At 42.8% G+C, this 20,600-nt stretch overlaps 1 protein-coding gene across 28 annotated transcripts in view; it reads right to left on the reverse strand.

Annotated features, from left to right (window-relative positions):
- STAU1 (staufen double-stranded RNA binding protein 1) overlaps window positions 1-20,600 on the reverse strand; it is a 105,957-nt gene that overhangs the window by 34,829 nt on the left and 50,528 nt on the right. For 16 of the 28 annotated variants that reach the window (NM_001319135.2, NM_001322930.2, NM_001322932.2 and 13 more), the window contains 3 exons: window positions 17,830-18,118; window positions 5,766-5,904; window positions 3,415-3,580 (listed from right to left, as the gene is read on the reverse strand). In NM_001319135.2, coding sequence (NP_001306064.1) covers window positions 3,415-3,580; window positions 5,766-5,904; window positions 17,830-18,034 — 510 coding nt within the window. In that variant the 5' untranslated portion in view covers window positions 18,035-18,118. Of the gene's footprint in view, window positions 1-3,414; window positions 3,581-5,765; window positions 5,905-10,269; window positions 10,331-10,771; window positions 10,980-17,829; window positions 18,119-20,600 lie in introns of all 28 variants that reach the window. The other 12 variants (NM_017454.4, NM_001322927.2, NM_017452.4 and 9 more) reach the window with 3 other exon arrangements.

Raw genomic sequence — 20,600 nt, forward strand, 5'->3', positions numbered from 1 at the left:
AGGCTGAGCATTCCTAATTCAAAAATCCAAAACCTAAAATGCTCCAAAAATCAAACTTTTTGAACACCAACACAATGCCACAAGTGGAAATTCCGTACATGACCTCATGCAACGTGTCGCAGTCAAAACAGTTTATTCAATACCCCCAAGAAAAAAATAAAATTACATTCAGGCTTTCTGTATAAGGTGTATACGAAACACAAATAAATTTCATGTTTAGACTTGGGTCCCATTCCCAAGATATCCCATTACGTATGATGGAAATATTCCAAAATCAAAAAAAGCTCTGAAATCCAAAACACTTCTAGTCGCAAGCGTTTAGGGTAAGGGATATTCATCTAGTACTTCAAATAAGTCTTTTCTGAATTAATGACTCTTCACTTCACTGGCTAAGGCCAGTCTTTAAGCCATTTCTGACAGGCACGGTCTCTACTTCCAACTCTACAGAGCTAGAAAAGGGGCATAGAGAAGAAACGCCAAAGGGCACAAGTAGATTTAAACACCACTCCCAGCAAAGCTCCTCAGAGATTTCATAGGACCCGGTGAAAACTCAGCCCAGAAGAACATGTCTACAACAGCCGCTGCCCTCAGGACTGTGCCAACCAACGCTGCTCTAGTGAGTGAAGGCGGGAGACTCAGAAACACCAACAGGCACTTATCCTTTGTAGCAATACTGTGATCACTCTCATGGAGGACTCAAGGGGAGGAACTGCTGGGGAAGTGCTGACAGCTCTTAGATCTGTGGTTCCCCAACCTTGACCATACCTCAGAATCACTCCAAGAGCTCATTAACAACAACATGGCCAGGTATGGTGGCTCATGCCCATAATCCCAGCACTTTGGAAGGCCAAGGTGGTCAGATCACCTGAGCTCAGGAGCTTGAGACCAGCCTGGGCAGTACAGTGAAACCCCATCTCTACTAAAAATACAAAAATTAGCTGGGCGTGGTGGTGAGCACCTGTAGTCCCAGCTACTCAGGAAGCTGAAGCACAAGAATTGCTTGAACCCAGGAGGTGGAGGTTGCAGTGAACCAAGATCATGCCACTACACTCCAGCCTGGGTGACAGGGAGAGACTGTCTCAAAACACACACACACACACACACACACACACACACACACACACCAGCAAGAACAACAAAAGCAGGGAGAGACTGTCTCAAAACACACACACACACACCCCCAAGCAAGTACAACAAAAGCAAAAGCCAGATTCCTGGGTCTCACCCTACACCTATTGCATTAGAATCCCGGGGTTGGGCCTAGAATTTATTTTTTTAACTTCTCAAGTGATTGTGATGCAGAAAAGCCATATAGCAGTGTCCAGCAATTGTTCATCAACTATTGGCTGGAAGGACTAGAAATACCTACTCCATCTGACTCCAATTAGATTAGCAACAGTCAAGTAAAAAGCTGAAAAGCCTCCAAAATAACTCAAATTACACTACCTTTTTGGTGTTTTAACAAATCTCACCACTGAAAAGCTCATTCTTTTAACTTCACTAAATCCTCCTCTTTTAGTTACAGCCTCATTTTCTTTGATTTGGTCCTTAGTGAGCCCTGGAAACAGATCATCTGTTAGAATAGGTGATTATAGCGGAAAATGGAAATGCAGCGTAACAAAAGAAAAACAAATCGCTCCTGTGCGGCCAGCCATGAAGCCCAAGTTGGGTCACCCTGGGTGGCAGCTGGATACAACAGACTCAGCAGGCACCCTGCCCAAGGTCCACTCGGGTCTACACCTCTCATCACATAGCCCACTGTTCTGTGCAGGATCCTCCTGTTCTTTGTGAACATGTTTCCTGGTGAAGAAAAGTCAAATGCTACCCAGAGATATTTTCAGGTGGCATTTCCTGTTGTGATTAAACAGAATTATGAAATCTCAATGTTTTCAATTCACTGGACTTCTTCTAGACTTTGTGACTCTATCTGTGATAAGATTCTGCCTGGCCAAAGATATTCACTAATGCTTTGACCCCTCAATGGCATGGAGTTACTGATTCCCTAAGAATTATATTGCTATTTAGTCACAAAAATGTTAAAATCCTTTTCCTATCATGGTGGTTTTAAAACATGGCCCCTAATTCTTTGACAATCCTTTCATCATCTGGAAATGGGATTCTCCATATTGTGAACGTACTAAAATCCACTGAATTGTACACTTACAATAGTCAATTTAGGTTATATAATTTTTACCTCCATTTTTTTTTTTTTGAGACAGAGTCTCGCTCTGTCCCTGAGGCTGGAGTGCAGTGGCACAATCTCGGCTCACCGCAAGCTCCGCCTCCCGGGTTCATGCCATTCTCCTGCCTCAGCCTCTCGAATAGCTGGGACTACAGGCGCCCACCACCACGCCCGGCGAATTTTTTGTATTTTTAGTAGAGATGGGGTTTCACCATCTTAGCCAGGATGGTCTCAATCTCCTGACCTCATGATCCACCCGCCTTGGCCTCCCAAAGTGCTGGGATTACAGGCGTGAGCCACTGCGCCCAGCCACCTCAATTTTTTTTTTCTAAGTGACATTCTATATCTCCTTCCTTTGAATCTGGGCTCCATGACTGCTTGACCTGTAGAATATGGCAGACACGATGCTGTGATTTCTGAGCCTAAGCCTTAAGAAACTGGCAGCTGCTTCCATTTCCCATCTTCTAGGATGCTTACTCTTGGCAACCAGCCACCATAACATGAAGAAGTATAAGCAATCCTTCCATAGGTCACCCAGGGATGAACTGAGGTCCTGGGGCCAGAACCCCCAGCTGAGCTCCTAGCTGACAGCAAGCACCAACTTACCAGCCACGTGAGTGAGCCACCTTAAAAGCAGATCCTCCGGCCCCGTGCAGATCCACTTCAACCAAAGCTGTGTGGAACGAAGACAAGCTACACCCTTGCCAAGCCCAGCCTCAATCACAGACTCATAAGCAAAATAAATGCCTGGAGATGTTTAAACCATCACTAAATTCTATGATGGTCTGTTATGAGGCAAAAGGTAACTGGCGCTTCTATATAATCAAGAGTGGCTGGTAAAAAACAGCTTCAGAAAATCCTCTAACCTGGTACCCATATATCACAGTAGATTCTGGCAAGCATAATCTTGAGCACCGAAGACTTCATCCATACATGTTCTTCACAACTCAACTGAATCACAAACTTTCTAACGTGTTCACACCGTATCATGTCACTCAAAACCATGCTACAGACTGAAAAAGAAGGCAACTGACTTTCTTGTTAAGAAATTTTAAAAGGAAAAAAGGAGTAAAAAGCAAGAAAGCTACAGAGCATAAAATCTTGGAGGCATTCAAATAAAAATTATGGACAGCTGTCAATGTGCCTTCTTAGAAAAGATAATGTGCGGTGACATCTCCCCACTACCCTCCTACCCTGTCGAAGCGTCAGGGAGCCTGGGCTCAACTCCTCACCTCCAGCCTCTCTGGCAGGGGCTCATTCTGCAGGATCCTCAACGCTTTGGCAGCAGCATCGTGTTTCGCAGCCTGTCTTGTCTTTCCTTTGCCATTAAATTGCTGTCCTCCCACAGAAAGTTCCACTTGATAAAGTAAAGGTGGAACTGGAAATGGGTAAAAGTACCTAGAAATAAAAGGAGGTTAGGCAAATTACAGTCTCAAGTTGATAAGTCACCTATACACTCTCTGGCAAATGCAAGTATTTCCTTCATCACGATCCTACTCACATTAGTGTTTGATGCTAATCACTCTTCATCAATATATCCAGAGATTTCATAAAAGCTTAAACTGGATTAGAATTGCTACACAGTATAAGCAAAGAGTGTTTAGCAATCCAAACTTACATCTCACAAAATACAATGGCTTATAAATTATGAGTTTATCACACTAACCTGCACTGACAAAATCTAAAATGAATTAGGCTTTGGCTGAGACAAAAACTTGGCTTGCTCTGCCTTCTCAAACCTTAGCTTTAAATTTGCATGTCTCCAATAGGAGGCTGGGAATTTTAATGCACAAGTCTTTCAAAAGGACCCTCATTTCAAGAAATCCCAATAAGCTGTAGCCTACCTAGCAGAACCCAGTTTCTTATCCATTTCCCTAGCAGAACCCAGTTTCTTATCCATTTCATAGCTTATATTTTTAAAATGACTATCCCCCAACAGAGAGCAGGGAAATGAAGAATTCCATTTTGCTCATCATCTATCCACTAATGTCTTTTTTTTTTTTTTTTTTTTGTGAGATGGAGTTTCTCTTGTTGCCCAGGCTGGAGTGCAGTGGTGCGATCTCGGCTCACTGCAACCTCCGCTTCCTGGGTTCAAGCGATTCTCCTGCCTCAGCCTCCCGAGTAGCTGGGATTACAGGCACCTGCCACCATGCCTGTATTTTTAGTATTTTTAGTAGAGACAGGGTTTCACCATGTTGGCCAGGCTGGTCTCAAACTCCTGACCTCATGATCCGCCTGCCTTGGCCTCCCAAAGAGCTGGGATTACAGGCGTGAGCCACCACACCTGGCCTCCACTAATGTCTTATTACTGCCAGCAGAAGATTTTTAATCCATGGCATTTTCAGGTTTCAATTAATATTTTATTGCACCAAAGCTATTTACAAAACGCACAAGTTCAAAAGTCAAAAAGTACCCAATAATCAGGTAATCTACAAATGCTGGGAATCATTGTCTTGCAGGAATCATGATGCTATGGGAATCATGTTTAAATATGATTCAGTTACACAAAGCAGTTACAAGGGTTATCTTTAGCCAGGCTGCTTGAGGGCACAAGCCACACTGCCAGCAAGAAATATGCTCAGGCCCTACCCAAGAGCAGTAGTTAAAGAAGCACAAAGGAGCCGGGCGTGGTGGCTCATGCCTGTAATCCCAGCACTTTGGGAGGCCGAGGTGGGCGGATCATGAGGTCAGGAGATTGAGACTATCCTGGCTAACAAGGTGAAACCCCGTCTCTACTAAAAATACAAAAAATTAGCCGGGTGTGGTGGCAGGCGCCTGTAGTCCCAGCTACTTGGGAGGCTGAGGCAGGAGAATAGCATGAACCCGGGAGGCAGAGCTTGCAGTGAGCCGAGATCATGCCACTGCACTCCAGCCTGGGCAACAGAGCGAGACTCCGTCTCAGAAAAAAAAAAAAAAAAAGAAGCACAAAGGGCCGGGTGTGGTGGCTCACACTTTAATCCTAGCACTGCGGGAGGCCAAGACAGGAGGACTCCTTGAGCCCAGAAGTTCAAGACCAGTCTGGGCAACATACGGAGACCCTGTCTCAATGAATTAAAAAAAAAAAAAAGAGGCGCAGCCAGGTGTGGTGGCTCACGCCTGTAATCCCAGCACTTTGGGAGGCCAAGGTGGGCAGATCATCTGAGGTCCGGAGTTCAAGACCACCCCAGCCAACATGGCAAAACCCCGTCTCTACTAAAAAATACAAAAAAAAATCAGCCAGGCGTGGTGGCAGGTGCCTGTAATCCCAGCTATTCGGGAGGCTGAGACAGCCTCCTCACTTGAACCCAGGAGGCAGAGGATACAGTGAGCCGAGACTGCACCACTGCACTCCAGCCTGGGTGACAGAGCAAGACTCTGTCTCAAAAAAAAAAAAAAAAAAAAAAAAAAAAAAAAGAAAGAAAGAAAAAAAAGAAAAGGCGGGGGAGGGGCACAAAGGCACAAGAGTAATTAAGACCAACTTCAACACTTGGCAGGCCCAAACCAAATCATTACTCCCTCCACAATCTAGAGGTACTGGTTTATGTAAAAGATCAGACACGTTTTCTCCTGTATTTTACAAAAAAAAAAAAAAAAAAACACATACCTCGGGGGATAAGCACCTCCTCTCATGTTGTAGTTATAGGTGGACTGCATCCGAGAGTAAGGGTCAACAGGCTTATACATTGGTTTTTTTCCAAGTTTCATGCACAGTGCATTTAGTTCTACAGTAGGGGTTATGCTTTCTGCAAGAAAGAATCGACAAAGAACTGTTTTTTTCTGGTATGAGAATGATACTCACTAAAATAAAATGTAATAGCATGCTTTCTGCTAATTGGATTCATGATACTTTACATAAAAGGACCTGGGTGGCTCACTGCTAGGCATCAGACAAGGAAATCCAAGAATATGCTGTGATTTCTAGATATTTATACACAGTCGACAGCACAAAATCTACTCTGAGGGTTACCAGAGGAGCCACAATTTAACCCAAGACATTATCAGTGAAAGCTATATGGTACAGCTGTCAGAAATAAGTTCCAAAACACATCAAATTTCACGATTAAAAAATCCCATGTAAATGTCCAAATTGTTTTACTGTTTGAGAATACTTAATCAATATAACCTTGGTTGTACTGATTTACAGGATTATTGGCTTGCACTCAGAAGTATGTCCGTACACAGTATTGAACGATGCATTTATTACATTACTAACTGGATGCAAAGCACTGTGCTAAGCTTAAGAAACACAATTCCTGGCCAGGCGTGGTGGCTCACGCCTGTAATCCCAGCACTTTGGGAGGCCAAGGCAGGAGGATCACAAGGTCAGGGTATCGAGACCATCTTGGCTAACATGGTGAAACCCTATCTCTACTAAAAAATACAAAAAATTAGCCAGGCATGGTGGCGGGTGCCTGCAGTCCCAGCTACTCAGGAGGCTGAGGCAGAAGAATGGTGTGAACCTGGGAGGCGGACCTTGCAGTGAGGGTGGCTCACACCTGTAATCCCAGCACTTTGGAAGGCCGAGGCGGGTGGATCACCTGAGGTCAGGAGTTCGAGACCAGCCTGGCTAACACGGTGAAACCCCGTTTCTACTAAAAATACAAAAAATTAGCCAGGCATGGTGGCGCATGCCTGTAATCCCATCTACTCAGGAGGCTGAGGCAGGAGAATCGCCTGAACCCAGGAAGCAGAGGTTGCAGTGAGTCGAGATTGCGTCACTGTACTCCAGATGAGGAAACAAGAGCAAAACTCTGTCTTAAAAAAAAAAAAGAAACACAATTCCTGCCCCAGAGGAGTTCAAAAAACACAAAGCACACTCAAAGAGTTACAATACAACATGATGTGCAACTTAAAGGTGAAAAATCAGTGAGGAGGTGGCAACCCAATTCTCTTCACAGAAGTCACACAAGGCCCACAAAATATTCAGGTATTTCCATTCTTGACATTTCTAATGAATTTGACCTGTGGTCATACTTGCTACGAAAATGAGTTCCATTTTCATACACAACAAGTTATCTCAAAATTATCAACTTCAGAAAATACATGCTATTCATTTTCCAATTTTTTTTTCTTTCAGTTCATCCAATCCATAAACCTTTAAAAACCATTTAAAAAGAAAACCAGCCTGGAAAGATTAGTGTCAGTGCACAATATTTAAAAACAACACTTTCATATCAAAAACAGAACACTAGAAATGGCAAAATCTAAATGCACATAAAAATCCACTTTAAAATGCCTCTTTAGGATGTATATAGAGAGAAATAAAAAAGACCTGATTCTGTACTATAACTGGTTCAACTAAATTTAATGCATGAATCAAATCTATAAGAATATCTTTGGGGTTTGCACAGAGGGCCACATGAATTACAGATCTCTCTCTTCCTTGCATTAGAATTATATTTTTTACAAAATTCATATAATTGCATTTTAAGTACAGTCTGAATCATTTTAAGAGCAGCTCTGATCCACAGAATTTGTCTGCAATAGAGAATAAACATGAAGAAAGTATACTGCAAAGAAATCAAAAGTAACAAGAAAGATGTGACTGGTAACTTCCCAGATTCCTTCCTACATACGAAGACCTGGGATGACTTCATGCATGTGAGGGGGTCTCTGCTAAAACAGCCATTAATGACACAGCCTCCAGGTCACTGATCCCCAACCCTTCACCAGCCATGCCTTCTTGATTAGTATGCTCCCTGAATGGGCTCCTTGTCTGAGGAGATACTACCTGCTGGCTTGTATTTAAGTAATATTTACATTTTTCTCATTCTTTTTAATAACTAAGAGACATACAACTGGCAATAAGCACTTCTGACCAACAAAATTACAATCAATATTACCACACTGACTTGATGTGACTCTAAATTAAACTTATATTCTTGCTAATCTATACACTCTTATCAAAAATATATTTTCATTAAACTTCGGAAATCTTTGAAATTATCTGGTCACCCGCCATCCTTCCTATGACCGCCTTTCCAGATTGTCAGGCGTTAAGGCATCATAGATTGGAAACCACTGCTTTACAATGAGGTTAAGGATTCCTAAAAAATAAGCATTTGTCACTGGTAGTGTAGAATCTGTGCTTTCAAAATCAACAAGTTAAGAAACCATTCATATACATACTACATGGTACCTCTAGACACACTTTTGAAAGGTACCTGTTTGGCCCATGCATAAGACCTGGATTCCTTCCTTCGCTACCAAAAGGGCTGACTATGGGCTTAGGAAATTTTGTTCCCTCCAAAGCTTTAGCAGCAGCTGTGTGTTTGACCTTTTTAATACCAGTTCACTCAGCTCCCCATTGCTGATTTCCAAGTGTCAGCAGTACTGTAAATTCCTAGAAATGAAAAGTGTGAGCTCTCAAATTCATGAAACCTGACATTGACTGTAATATGTCACTTGAACCTTGAACACTTTCTATGGTCATGGTTTAAGAGGCCTGGTCTTATCTTGATAATTCATCCTGTCATCCCCTTCTTATCCTTTTTTGTTGTTTTTTATAAACAACAACAAAAAAAAGAGATTGTGTGTGTATGCACTGAAATTTTTTTTTTTTTTTAAGAGACACAGTCTCACTCTGTCCCCAGGTTAGAGTGCAGTGGTGTGATCTTGGCTCAATGCAACCTCCACCTCCTGGGTTCAAGAAATTCTCCTGCCTCAGTCTCCCGAGTAGCTGGGATTACAGGCACCTGCCACCATGCCCGGCTAATTTCTGTACTTTTAGTAGAGACAGGGTTTCACCATGTTGGCCAGGCTGGTCTCGAACTCCTGACCTCAAGTGATCCACCTGCCTCAGTCTCCCAAAGTGCTGGGATTACAGGCATGACCCACCACGTCCAGCCTCAAAATTCTCTTCCAATTACTTCTCATGAAAGATATTTTGCAAACTTGATTTAAACACACAGCAGTACTTCACACAAATTAAGACAATGTTTGTTTTGATGCTGCAATGTGTTTGTGGGCTCTTGTTTGAAAACATAACCACCCTTTTTTTCAGTTTTTGAAATGGGGTCTTGCTCTGCTGTCCAGGCTGGAGCTCAAATGGCACAATCATAGCTCACTGCAGCCTCCTGGGTTGAAATAATCCTCCCACCTCAACCTCCTGAGTAGCTGGGACTACAGGCACACACCACCATACTTGGCTAATTTTTTTTTTTTATTTTTTTGAGACAGTCTTGCTCTGTCGCCAGGCTGGAGTGTAGTGGCATGATCTCAGCTCACTGCAACCTCCGCCTCCCAGGTTCAAGCGATTCTCCTGCCTCAGCCTCCTGAGTAGCTGGGACTACAGGCATGCACCACCACGCCCAGCTAATTTTTGAATTTTTAGTAGGGATGGGGTTTCACCATGTTGGCCAGGATGGTCTTGGTCTCTTGACCTTGTGAACTGCCCGCCTTGGACTCTCAAAGTGCTGGGATTACAGGCGTGAGCCACCATGCCCGGCCCATACCTGGGTAATTTTTTAATTTTTGCGGAGGCAGGGTCTCCCTATGTTGCCTAGGCTGGTCTTAAACTCCTGGGCTCCAGTGATCCTCTCGCCTCAGCCTTCCAAAGTGATAGGATTTAAGGCATGAGCGTTTCTATTTTTATTAAGTTCTCAAAGTAATTCTGATGCACCCCAAAGATTTGAGATTCACTACTTTGGAATTTAACAAATCAATTGAAGCGGCCGGGTGTGGTGGCTCACAACTGTAATCCCAGCACTTTGGGAGGCAGAGGCGGGCAGATCACCTGAGGTCAGGAGTTCAAGACCCGCCTGGCCAACATGGTGAGACCCTGCCTCTACTAAAAATACAAAAATTAGCCACGTGTGGTAGTACGTGTCTGTAATCCCAGCTACTCAGGAGGCTGAGGCAAGAGAATCACTTGAACCCGGGAGGTTGCGGTTGCAGTGAGCCGAGAACACGCTATGGCACTCCAGCCTGGGTGATGACAGAGTAAAACTCCGTCTCAAAAAAAGAAAAAATTAATTGAAGCTTTTATTCTTCTGATGTAATCACTGAATATCACTTTATCTCACTTACAAATAATTTACAAGGGAAACCTGGATTTCAGTATGTCTAGGTCATTTAAATTTGGTGCCTTAAGGGGTGAGGCAACTTGCCTTCATAGCTGATTTTTCTTGTAGGTCTTACTTTTAGGATTCCCTCAGTGCACGGCTTCCACTAAAGGAAAAAAACAAAGAATCCTTTATTGGCCAGGTGCAGTGGCTCATGCCTGTAATCCTAGCACTTTGGGAGGCCAAGGCAGGCAGATCACTTGAGGTCAGGAGTTCGAGACCAGCCTGGCCTACATAGTGAAACCCCATCTCTACTAAAAATGCAAAAATTAGCCAGGCGTGGTGGCATGCACCTGTAATTCCAGCTACTTGGGTAGCTGAGGCAGGAGAATCACTTGAACCCGGGAGGCAGAGGTTGCAGTGAGCCAAGATTGCACCACTGCACTCCAGTATGGGCAACAGAGACTCCATTTCAAAATAAAAAAAAGCCGGGCGCGGTGGCTCATGCCTGTAATCCCAGCAGATCGCGCCACTGCACTCCAGCCTGGGCCACAGAATGAGACTCCATCTCAAAAATAAATAAATAAATAAATAAATAATCCTTTACCCCCCTTGACACTTCACACATCAGGACATCAGGGGTCTCCTTTATTATATGTTCTGCAGTCCATCAGGCTACTCATTTAAGTACAAACAACAGCATGAACTCAAAACCCTGGCAGGCAGGAAGGTCAAATGGCAGAAGCCTGCAACGCAGTACAATCCCTGGGTCATCTTGGTGATTGTCTCATGGATAAATGCTGAAGGGGAAAAAGCTAAAAAAAAAAAAACACACAAAGTTATTCTCGTGAACCGTCTTGCCTTTCTCTAGGACTTTCCCCATCCGGTGCTACCTGCCACTCTGCTGCATTCTGTTGGTGTAGCAAGGCTAGAATCTTGGTTTTGATAGAACCAAAAGTATACCACATCTCTTGATTTTTCAAATAATCTAAATCACCCAAGAGAGAACAACTTCTCCTCTTTGAACAACTTGTGGGTAAAAAGAAAATATGCGGTTAGAGATGAACACACAGCCAAACTACCTAAATTATTAAAAGTTCAAGTGAGAAAGTGCATTAGCCAAAATATAATAAAAAGTTAATAAAGGGAATCCCGAAGTTAAGGTCTGCAAAAAAATCCTGGAGAGGAAATACAACAGTTATAGAAAAATGACTGACTTCTATTTTTATTTTAATTAATTATTTTTTGATAAAGGGTCTCACTCTGTCACCCAGGCTGGAATGCAGTGGTGCCATCTCAGCTCATCACAGCCCCCACCTCCCAGGTTCAGGTGATTCTCCTGCCTCAGCCTCCTGAGTAGCTGGGACTACAGGTGCGCACCACCACATCCAGCTAATTTTTGTGTTTCTTGGTAGATACAGGGTTTCACCATGTTGGCCAGTCTGGTCTCAAACTCCTGACCTCAAGTGATCTGTCGGCCTTGGCCTTCCAAAGTGCTGTGAATACAAGCATGAGCCACTGCTCCCAGTCCCTAGTTGCCTAAATGTGTCTATAAAGACACATTTCAAATAGAATTATGTTTTAAAACAACATTTTTAAGCTAGTTTTGTGTGAGTGGTAAATACTGTTTTTCTTAAATGCTTAATTAAATGCTTAATCCTGCCTCAGCTACCCAAGTAGCCAGAATTACAGCTACCATTTCTCAAGCATTTACTAGGCATTGTGCTCCACAGGTTAACATATATGCTCTCATTTAATTCTCACAATAAACCTATTTGGTGGGTATTATCCCTGTTTTACACATGAGGAAACAACGACAACAAAAAAGTAGTAACTTGCACAAGATCACACAGCTAGTAACAAGCTGAGACTCAAACCTAGATGTGTCTGACTTCAAAGGCAACTGAACCGTATTATGCTACGGTGACTATTCATGTTTGTGCCTTATGTTACTTTCAGTCAAATGAAAAGAAACACTTGATTTTATTCAAGGCTTGAGGTTTGCGTGTGAAGGAAAATGAGGCAAAATGAGATAAATAACTCATCCTTAATTATATTATCTTTGCTGCAAGGTTAGGATCAGAAACAGACAGCGTCAATTCCTTATCTCTCATACTATATCATCTTACGCTACAGCTGCAAAAGACAACTCCGTATCTCCGTGTCCTTAGATGGTTGGGAAAAAAGTTAACTCCAGATATGCAAGAATTAAGTTCCAGAATGTGCTGTTAATACAGATAACAAACAAGTTTCAAAGACTGAATTATTTTTTTCCTTTCCATGTTCTAAAAAGACTGAATTCTTGAATAATGATTAGCAAATTTTAAAATTATAGTCAGACTTTCATTCTCTAAGATAAGGGGAATGACAAGGATAACTGAAACCAAAGACAATACAAAATACTCACTTTGAGACTACATGGTGAAACCCCGTCTCTACTAAAATGCAAAATTAGCCAGGCAATTGCATCTTCAAACCTTTTGCCCAGATTGCTAACAAGTGAAAAAACTGTTTTCCCATCACCTCTTCTCCCTGCCCTAAGGTCCTTGTGCAAACAAGCAGGAGAGGAGCCAGAAGTAAGCTGCAGACAAGAGGTGGCCCAAAGCTGGAAAACTTACGGGCAATCAATCACAGGTGCTTGAGAATTGTCTCTGTTCAGAATCCCAAACAACCATACACTATTTGGAGTTTTAAAAGCAAAATATGGCCAGGCGGGGTGGCTAACACCTGTAATCCCAGCATTTTGGGAGGCCAAGGCAGGCAGATTGTTTGAGCCCAGCAACTCAAAACAAGCCTGGGCAACATAGTGAGACTTCATCTCCACAAAGAATTAAAAAAAAAAAAAACTAGCTGGGCGTGGTGGCATGCACCTGAGGTCCCAGCTACTCAGGAGGCCAAGGTGGGAGGATTGCTTAAGCCTGGGAGGTCGAGGCTGCAGTGAGACATGATCACACCACTCACTCCAGCCTAGGCGGCAAAGAAAGACTCTAAAAAAACTAAAACCCAAATATTCCAAAAAGCAACACATATTTTCTTTGACCCATTGGCAAGGATGAAAAAAGAAGCAACTTCAAAAATCTATAATCTTGTCTAAGTATAGTTTTTGTTTAAGACAACCTCATCAGTTTGAAAACATGTATTTTGAATTACAGCACCACTTTCAAGAGTATAAAAAATAGAGAACATTCCAGGTGGGTTATAAATGCACAAGCAGTATGGACAATATTTACCTTACAGTGAGCTGGACCTTGCTCACACAAAAGCCTATACTCAAGCTGGATCTTGCTGAAACAAACTAACTCATTCACAAGACACAACTGGGATTTTTCTCTATGGGGTTCGCCACATGAGAAGGAAGTGAAAACGTTAAGAGCACTGAAGTCAACTAGCAGTATATAAGACTACTATTCTCCTAGGGATATGAAAATAGAGGAAAAACAAATGGAAGGTCTACAAATGTAGGCAGCCATGATACAAAACTGCAAATCATTCCAGGAGTACACTCCCAGAGAAGACGCAACTAGGGTCTTTTCTGAACCAGTTGAAGCCAGGTAATCTAGGAGAGGGTGTGTCTTCAAAAGAGAGTGAAGTCAGGGGAGTAACTAACCCATGGCAGGCAAGCAAGATTTGAAATCAGATGAATCACTGCTATTAAAACCAACTGGAATACAAGGTCTTCTGAGCAGACACTGGTTACTGAAACAGCCGCCAGCTGTACCCCGCCCATTATTTCGCTAAACTCAACATGCCACTACCATCTCTCAAACAACACTTGTCATCTTCCATACAGTGAAACTCTCATTCCTGGGCATCCTCTAGTCTTTTCTCCAAAGGCTGCCATCCTCAGACCTTATCTATTTCTAACAATTATATAAATAAAATAAAATGATGTTGGTGGGCAGGAGTTTTACAAAGTCAATAGGATTTGGACACCAGAATTCATTAGAAGAAAAAGCAATAAATCCCAGAGGACGGAAACAGTCTGTGCCTTTTCCTTTTAAGAGAGTCTCACATGGCAAATATGGGGAAAATAACATCTCTCCAGGACTACAAAAAATCAAGAATGCTATCTGGTGAACCAGTCCAAGGAATTGTGGGGGTGGCATGGAAGATGCCACGCAGCTGAGTGGGAGAAGCAAACACTCTAAGAACAGATTTATAGGCCAGACATGGTGGCTCACGCCTGTAATCCCAACACTTTGGGAGGCCGAGGCAGGCGGATCACGAGGTCAGAAGATCAAAACCATCCTGGCTAACAAGGTGAAACCCCATCTCTACTAAAAATACCAAAAAAATTAGCCGGGCATGGTGGCGGGCGCCTGTAGTCCCAGCTACTCAGGAGACTGAGGCAGGAGAATGGCGTGAACCCGGGAGGCAGAGCTTGCAGTGAGCCGAGACCATGCCACTGCACTCCAGCCTGGGCGACAGAGCGAGACTCCGTCTCAAAAAAAAAAAAAACAGATTTATAAAGTAAAGGAAATGAGAAGACAAAGGAGGAAACTGAAAGGAAACAGGCACAAGGAAGGGGATGAAAAGACTTTGTTATAAGGTAACTCTGGTATAGAAATACCCACATACTAGGCTGGATGTGGTGGCTCACGCCTATAATCCCAGCACTTTAGGAGGCCAAGGTAGGCGGATCACGAGGTCAAGAGATTGAAACCATCCTGGCCAACATGGTGAAACCCCATCTCTACTAAAAATACAAAAATTAGCTGGGCATGGTGGCGTGTGCCTATAGTCCCAGCTACTCAGGAGGCTGAGGCAGGAGAATTGCTTGAACCCGGGAGGAGGAAGTTGCAGTGAGCCAAGATTGTGCCACTGCACTCTAGCCCGGCGACAGAGCGAGACTCCATTTCAAAAAAAAAAAAAAATTGACACTGACACCCCATTTATTTCACTGGTCTTGCCATGTTGCAGGGAGGGTGTTGGGAAGCAGAATATTGTTTTTATTTATTATCCCCACTCCCTTTTTTTTTCTAGTCAGACCCTGTCTCCTATTCATAAGAATATTGGTTTTAGGTTTTCTTTCTTTAGCCTTAGTTTCTTGTCTATAATATTTTTAGGTATTTTTCAAGTGTTTAAACCTTTTTTTTTTTTTTTTTTTTTTTTGAGATGGAATCTCGCTCTGTTGCCCAGACTGGAGTGCGGTGACATGATCTTGGCTTGCTGCAGCCTCTGCCTCCCAGGTTCAAGCGATTTTCCTGCCTCACCCTCCCAAGTAGCTGGGAATATAGGCACACACCGCTACACCTGGCTAATTTTTGTATTTTTAATAGAGACAGGGTTTCACCATGTTGGCCAGGCTGGTCTCAAACTCCAGACCTCAGGTGATCCACCTGCCTTGGCCTCCCAAGTGCTGGGATTATGGGCATGAGCCACTGCAACCGGCAAGGTACCTTTAGTTCATTTTCCTAATTATCAGATTTGAATGTTTCTATACTTTTTGTTTTGAGTCAGTCTCAGTCTGTTGCCCAGGCTGGAGTAAGACAGCACGATCACAGTTCATTGCAGCCTCAAACTTCTGGGCTCAAGCAATCCTCCTGCCTCAGCCTCCCAAGTAGCTGGGACAACAGGTGCACACCATCAAGCCCAGCTAATTTTTAAATTGGCCTCGCAGCCTGGCACAATGACTCACACCTGTAATTCCAGCAATTTGGGAGGCCAAGGCAAGCTGATCACTTGAGATCAGGAGTTGGAGATGAGCCTGGGCAACACAGTGAAACCCCATCTCTACTAAAAATACAAAACAGCCGAGCGTAGTGGCAGGCACCTGTAATCCCAGCTACTCGGGAGGCTGAGGCAGGAGAATCGCTTGAACCCAGGAGCCAGAGGTTGCAGTGAGCCAAGATCACACCACTGCACTCCAGCCTAAGCAACAAAGTGAGACTCTGTCTCATAAATAAATAAATAGGCATCCCAAAACACTGAAATTACAGGTGTGAACCACCTTGCCAGCCAAGAAGGAGACTTTTTTTCTTTTGAGACAGGGTCTCGCTCTGTCTCCCAGGCTGGATGGAATACAGTGGTATAATTACAGCTCATGGCAGCCTCGACCTCCTGGACTCAAGTGACCCTCCTGCCTCAGCCTCTGGAGTAGCTGGGACCACAGCTCAGCCAATTTTTGTATTTTTTTTTTTGTATAGATGGGATTTCACCATGTTGCCCAGGCTGGTCTCCAACTCCTGGGCTCAAGCAATCTCCCCACTCGGCCTCCCAAAGTACTGGGATTACAGGTGTGAACCACCACGCCTGGCCATGACGCAGAAAATTTTAACAAGAAAATAAATTTGGGCATTGTAGCTCACACCTATAATCCAGCTATTCAGGAGGCTGAGGCAGGAGGATCCACTTGAGCCCAGGAGGTTGATGCTGCAGTGAACCATAATCTCACACTACCGTACTCCAGCCTAGGCAATAGAGACCCCGTGAAACAAACGAGAGATAAGAAAGGAAAGAAGAGAAAAAAAACTCTGCTTCTTTATTCCATTTCTAATTGATCCTCATTATGATTTCTAAACTACTTCTGGAACCTTCCAGACTTAAACTTACTTGTTCAAAACAAAAATAAAAATAAATAAATGTCAATGTACTTTTTTGCTTTCTAGTAAATCTGGCTGCCCCCTTGCTTGGGATAAAATCTTACGGACATTCAAAAAGAAGGCTTATGTAGATTTAAGAGCTCTTCGTCAGTTGTGGGAATTTTATTTATTTATTTTTTATTTATTTTTGAGACGGAGTCTTGCCTTGTTGCCCAGGCTGGAGTGCAGTGCCATGATCTCAGCTCACTACAACCTCTGCCTCCTGGGTTCAAGTGATTCTTCTATATCAGCCTCCCGAATAGCTGGGACTACAGGCACGCACCACCATGCCCAGCTATTTTTTGTATTTTTAGTAGAGACGGAGTCTCACCATATTGGCCAGGCTGGTCTCGAACTCATGACCTCGTGATCTGCCCGCCTTGGCCTCCCAAAGTGCTGGGATTACAGGCGTGAGCCACCGCGCCCGGCCTATTTTTTCTTTTTTTGAGACAGTGTCTCCCTCTTGCCCAGGCTGGAGTGAAGTGGCACAGTCTCAGCTCACTGCAACCTCCACCTCCAGGGTTCAGGCAATTATCCTGCCTCAGCCTCCTGAGTAGCTGTTATGGGCGTGCATCACCAAGCCCAGCTAGTTTGTGTATTTTTTGTAGAGGCAGGGTTTCACCATGTTGGCCAGGCTGGTCTCAAACTCCTGACCTCTGCTGATCCACCTGCCTCAACCTCCCAAAGTGCTGGGATTACAGGCGTGAGCCACGGCACCTGGCTTGTTCTGGGAAATAATTTTAAATGCAGAATTATCCCATACAACGATGAATATCCAAGGTGGTATTTACTGCTCAATTCTTTCTGCCAGCCACCGCTCTTTAACAGATGAGGCTTTATAGTGTGAGTAGTTTTCAGCTTTCAATTCTCTTTCTCACAACCTACAATCGTCTGTCAACTGAGGCCCCTGTCAACCCCTTACACAACCAGTGTTCTATATCTGGGATAAAGAAGTGTGGGTGGTGATACTTTCTTTTGCTTTTTGAAGGTAAATGTGAGAGCTCCCTAAATCTGCAACCTATCAGATCAGAAAACAGGGTAAGAAAACATTTGAAATAGAAGACACTTGGATTCATATGCTTACCTGCAGCTGCACTGGTGGATGTAATAGATGCAGAGGGTAAAGCAGAGTTTTGAATGGGTCTACCTGCATTTTCAGAGGGCAGAGAGCTAGTAGTAGAAGGAATACTCATCAAAGGCTGTGAGAGAAGAGACTGGTTCTTGTTCAGTATTTGGCTCCCTGAGAGAGCAGCAGATGGGTTCTGAACTTGCACTTGAACTTGAGACATGGTCACTTTCAACAAAAGTGAACAAATGCAGGTAAACAGCTTTCAGTGCAGGTTAATTCAGTGCTATGAAGTCTAAAGTTCTACCTAAAAGTTGTAAGGGAAAGAAAATAAAAAGGTAAATTATAGAGGAGATATGTAATTGCCAATATTCAGTCAAAATGGTGTCACCTACTGACTTATGAAAATAGCTCCATTTAGCATGTAGCTATGTTGATTTATTCGAAATATGTTTCTCCTTGGTATACAGTAAGTTTCTTGGCCTTGTGACTTTCCCACAGTGTTTTTTAAGTGATTTACAATACCTGTGTGCTCTGCATATTCATTATACAAAGAGAATCAGTAGGGTATAATATTTATTGGTGAGTATTAAGAATTGCAAACTATAGCTTACATTCAAAAATGCAAATTTGAAAGTATGGAGAGGTTTCCATAGTAATTGGGGCACAGTAAGGTTTCTTTCTGGTCTCAAAATTACAAGAAACTGAAAGCAAACTAGGTTTATCATACCAGGAACAGGTGAATGTGAACACTGCTTCCTCTTAAGGACCAAGGCTCAGACTGACAACCTTAGGGCCTTAAGTTGACAGAAGGAAGGTAGGATACTTCTGCTGTTTCTTTTTCTTTATGGTGATGAGAGATGTATTGTTTTCCTAAAAGGCTTGTTTGAGGTCTCATTTAATTATAGAACCCAAACAAGGAAACTATCACAACCCTACCCAGGCTCACAGATCCTGAGAAGTGATGTGAGTAACAAAGACCATACTAGAGAATTTATACTATTAAAAGCAAAAGTGGAGATGAAGAAGACAGGAATGGATTTTAGACTGGCAATTTTACTGGTGTGGTTGGGTGGGGGAGCACTGGAGCTTGTTTACTTCATATTGTAAATTAAGAGAATAATGAAGGCATTACTTCTAAATACATTAAATTTCTTCACGAGACAAAAATAAGGACAGTTGTGTTCATTTTCATGGCCATCCTTTAAAAGCTGAAAATGTTTTTAATGAGTCAAAGTACTTAAAAATAACCAGTGGCAACAAAGAACAGAAATGACAGGTCTCTCAGGAAATAGCCAACCAATGCAGAAACCAGCAAACCAACTAATTAGAAGTTCTATTATAAAGAAACAGTTACTTTAATTTTTTTTAAGTATCAAAATGATTTTTAAAGCTGGTCCTCAAGAAAGAGATGAATGACCAGAGCAATTAAGCTACTTGAGGAGTCCTAACACATTCTCTCTTACTGAGAGCAAAAAGGACTGCAAAACTCAAAAGAAACTCAAGCGAAATGTGACTCTGGATAGCAGAGGCATAAGTATTACCTTATTCAACAAAATTCCCCAAGAGTGCAGTTGTTCCTTTTTACTTTCAGAATCAGAACAAAATAACAGAGGCGTTCCATTGAAGATCTACATAATGGTCTTAGAAGACAAGTCGCCAGTGTCAAGAAACAAGTCCAGAACCATTCAGAAGTCAGCTATGACCTTATTTCATTGGGTTTTTTTTCCGTCAGCTGCTAAAATAGAAACACTTTTTTCCTCCTCTCTTCCCCTCTCTTCATTTATTCACTCACTCCTCCTTTTCCTGCTTTTTGTAAACTATCTTGAGAGCACTTTTTAAAACAAAAAAGTCACTTGTGTATGTACGACTTCACAACACCAACCACAGGTCTCAAGGTCAAAAAATGAGCTAGGAGTAAAGTATCTGCTCCAGAATCTACCCCCATCCCAGAAAGAGCAACCCAACTGTGTCCTGAGTGGCTCTTAGAGTTTAAGACTCTGAATGAATGCCTAAATTTAGAAAGGGTGTGGACCAAGGGATTTTTGGTTAATGTTCTCTAAAGCAGGCTGACTGCCAGGATTTCAAGTCAGTGATAAATTTTTAATTTTTTTTTTTTTTTTCCGAGACAGAGCTTTGTCGCCCAGGCTGGAGTGCAGTGTTGCAAACTTAGCTCACTGCAACCTCTGCCTCCTGGGCTCAAGCAATTTTCCTGCCTCAGTCTCCCAAGTAGCTAGGATTACAGGCATGAGCCACCATGCCTGGCTAGTTTTTGTATTTTTAGCAGAGACAGCATTTCGCCAGGTTGGCCAGGCTGCTCTCAAACTCCTGACCTCAGGTGATCTGCCCACTTCAGCCTCCCAAAGTCCTGGGATTACAAGTGTGAGGCACCGCACTCTGCTCAAGTCAGTCATAAATATGTAAGTTTTCTAGAAGCTGAGAAAGGAATAGGCTTTTTAAATTAAGACTGCCTCAAAAATGTTACCCTTAAATTCACTTAAAGGACTTAACATCTAACAGTTGGTTGAAATATGTAGTTCAAAACAAAACAAACCAAAAAAAAAAAGTTAAACTCTCCAAATAAGACTAGGTAAATTTAAATTTCCAACATGATAAATATGAAAATGCAACAAACAATACTCACAAATTATTAGTCACCTGCTAGTTTAAAATTTTTATGTGTCTTATTTAAGCCTGAACAGAGCATCTAAGGTAGTGATTCTCAAAAGGGAGCAATTTTGTTCCCCCAGGAGACATCTGCCAATGTCTGGAGACATTTTTTGGTTGTC

The sequence above is a fragment of the Homo sapiens genome, chromosome 20, assembly GCF_000001405.40.
Source record: "Homo sapiens chromosome 20, GRCh38.p14 Primary Assembly".
NCBI classification, from domain to species: Eukaryota; Metazoa; Chordata; class Mammalia; order Primates; family Hominidae; genus Homo; species Homo sapiens.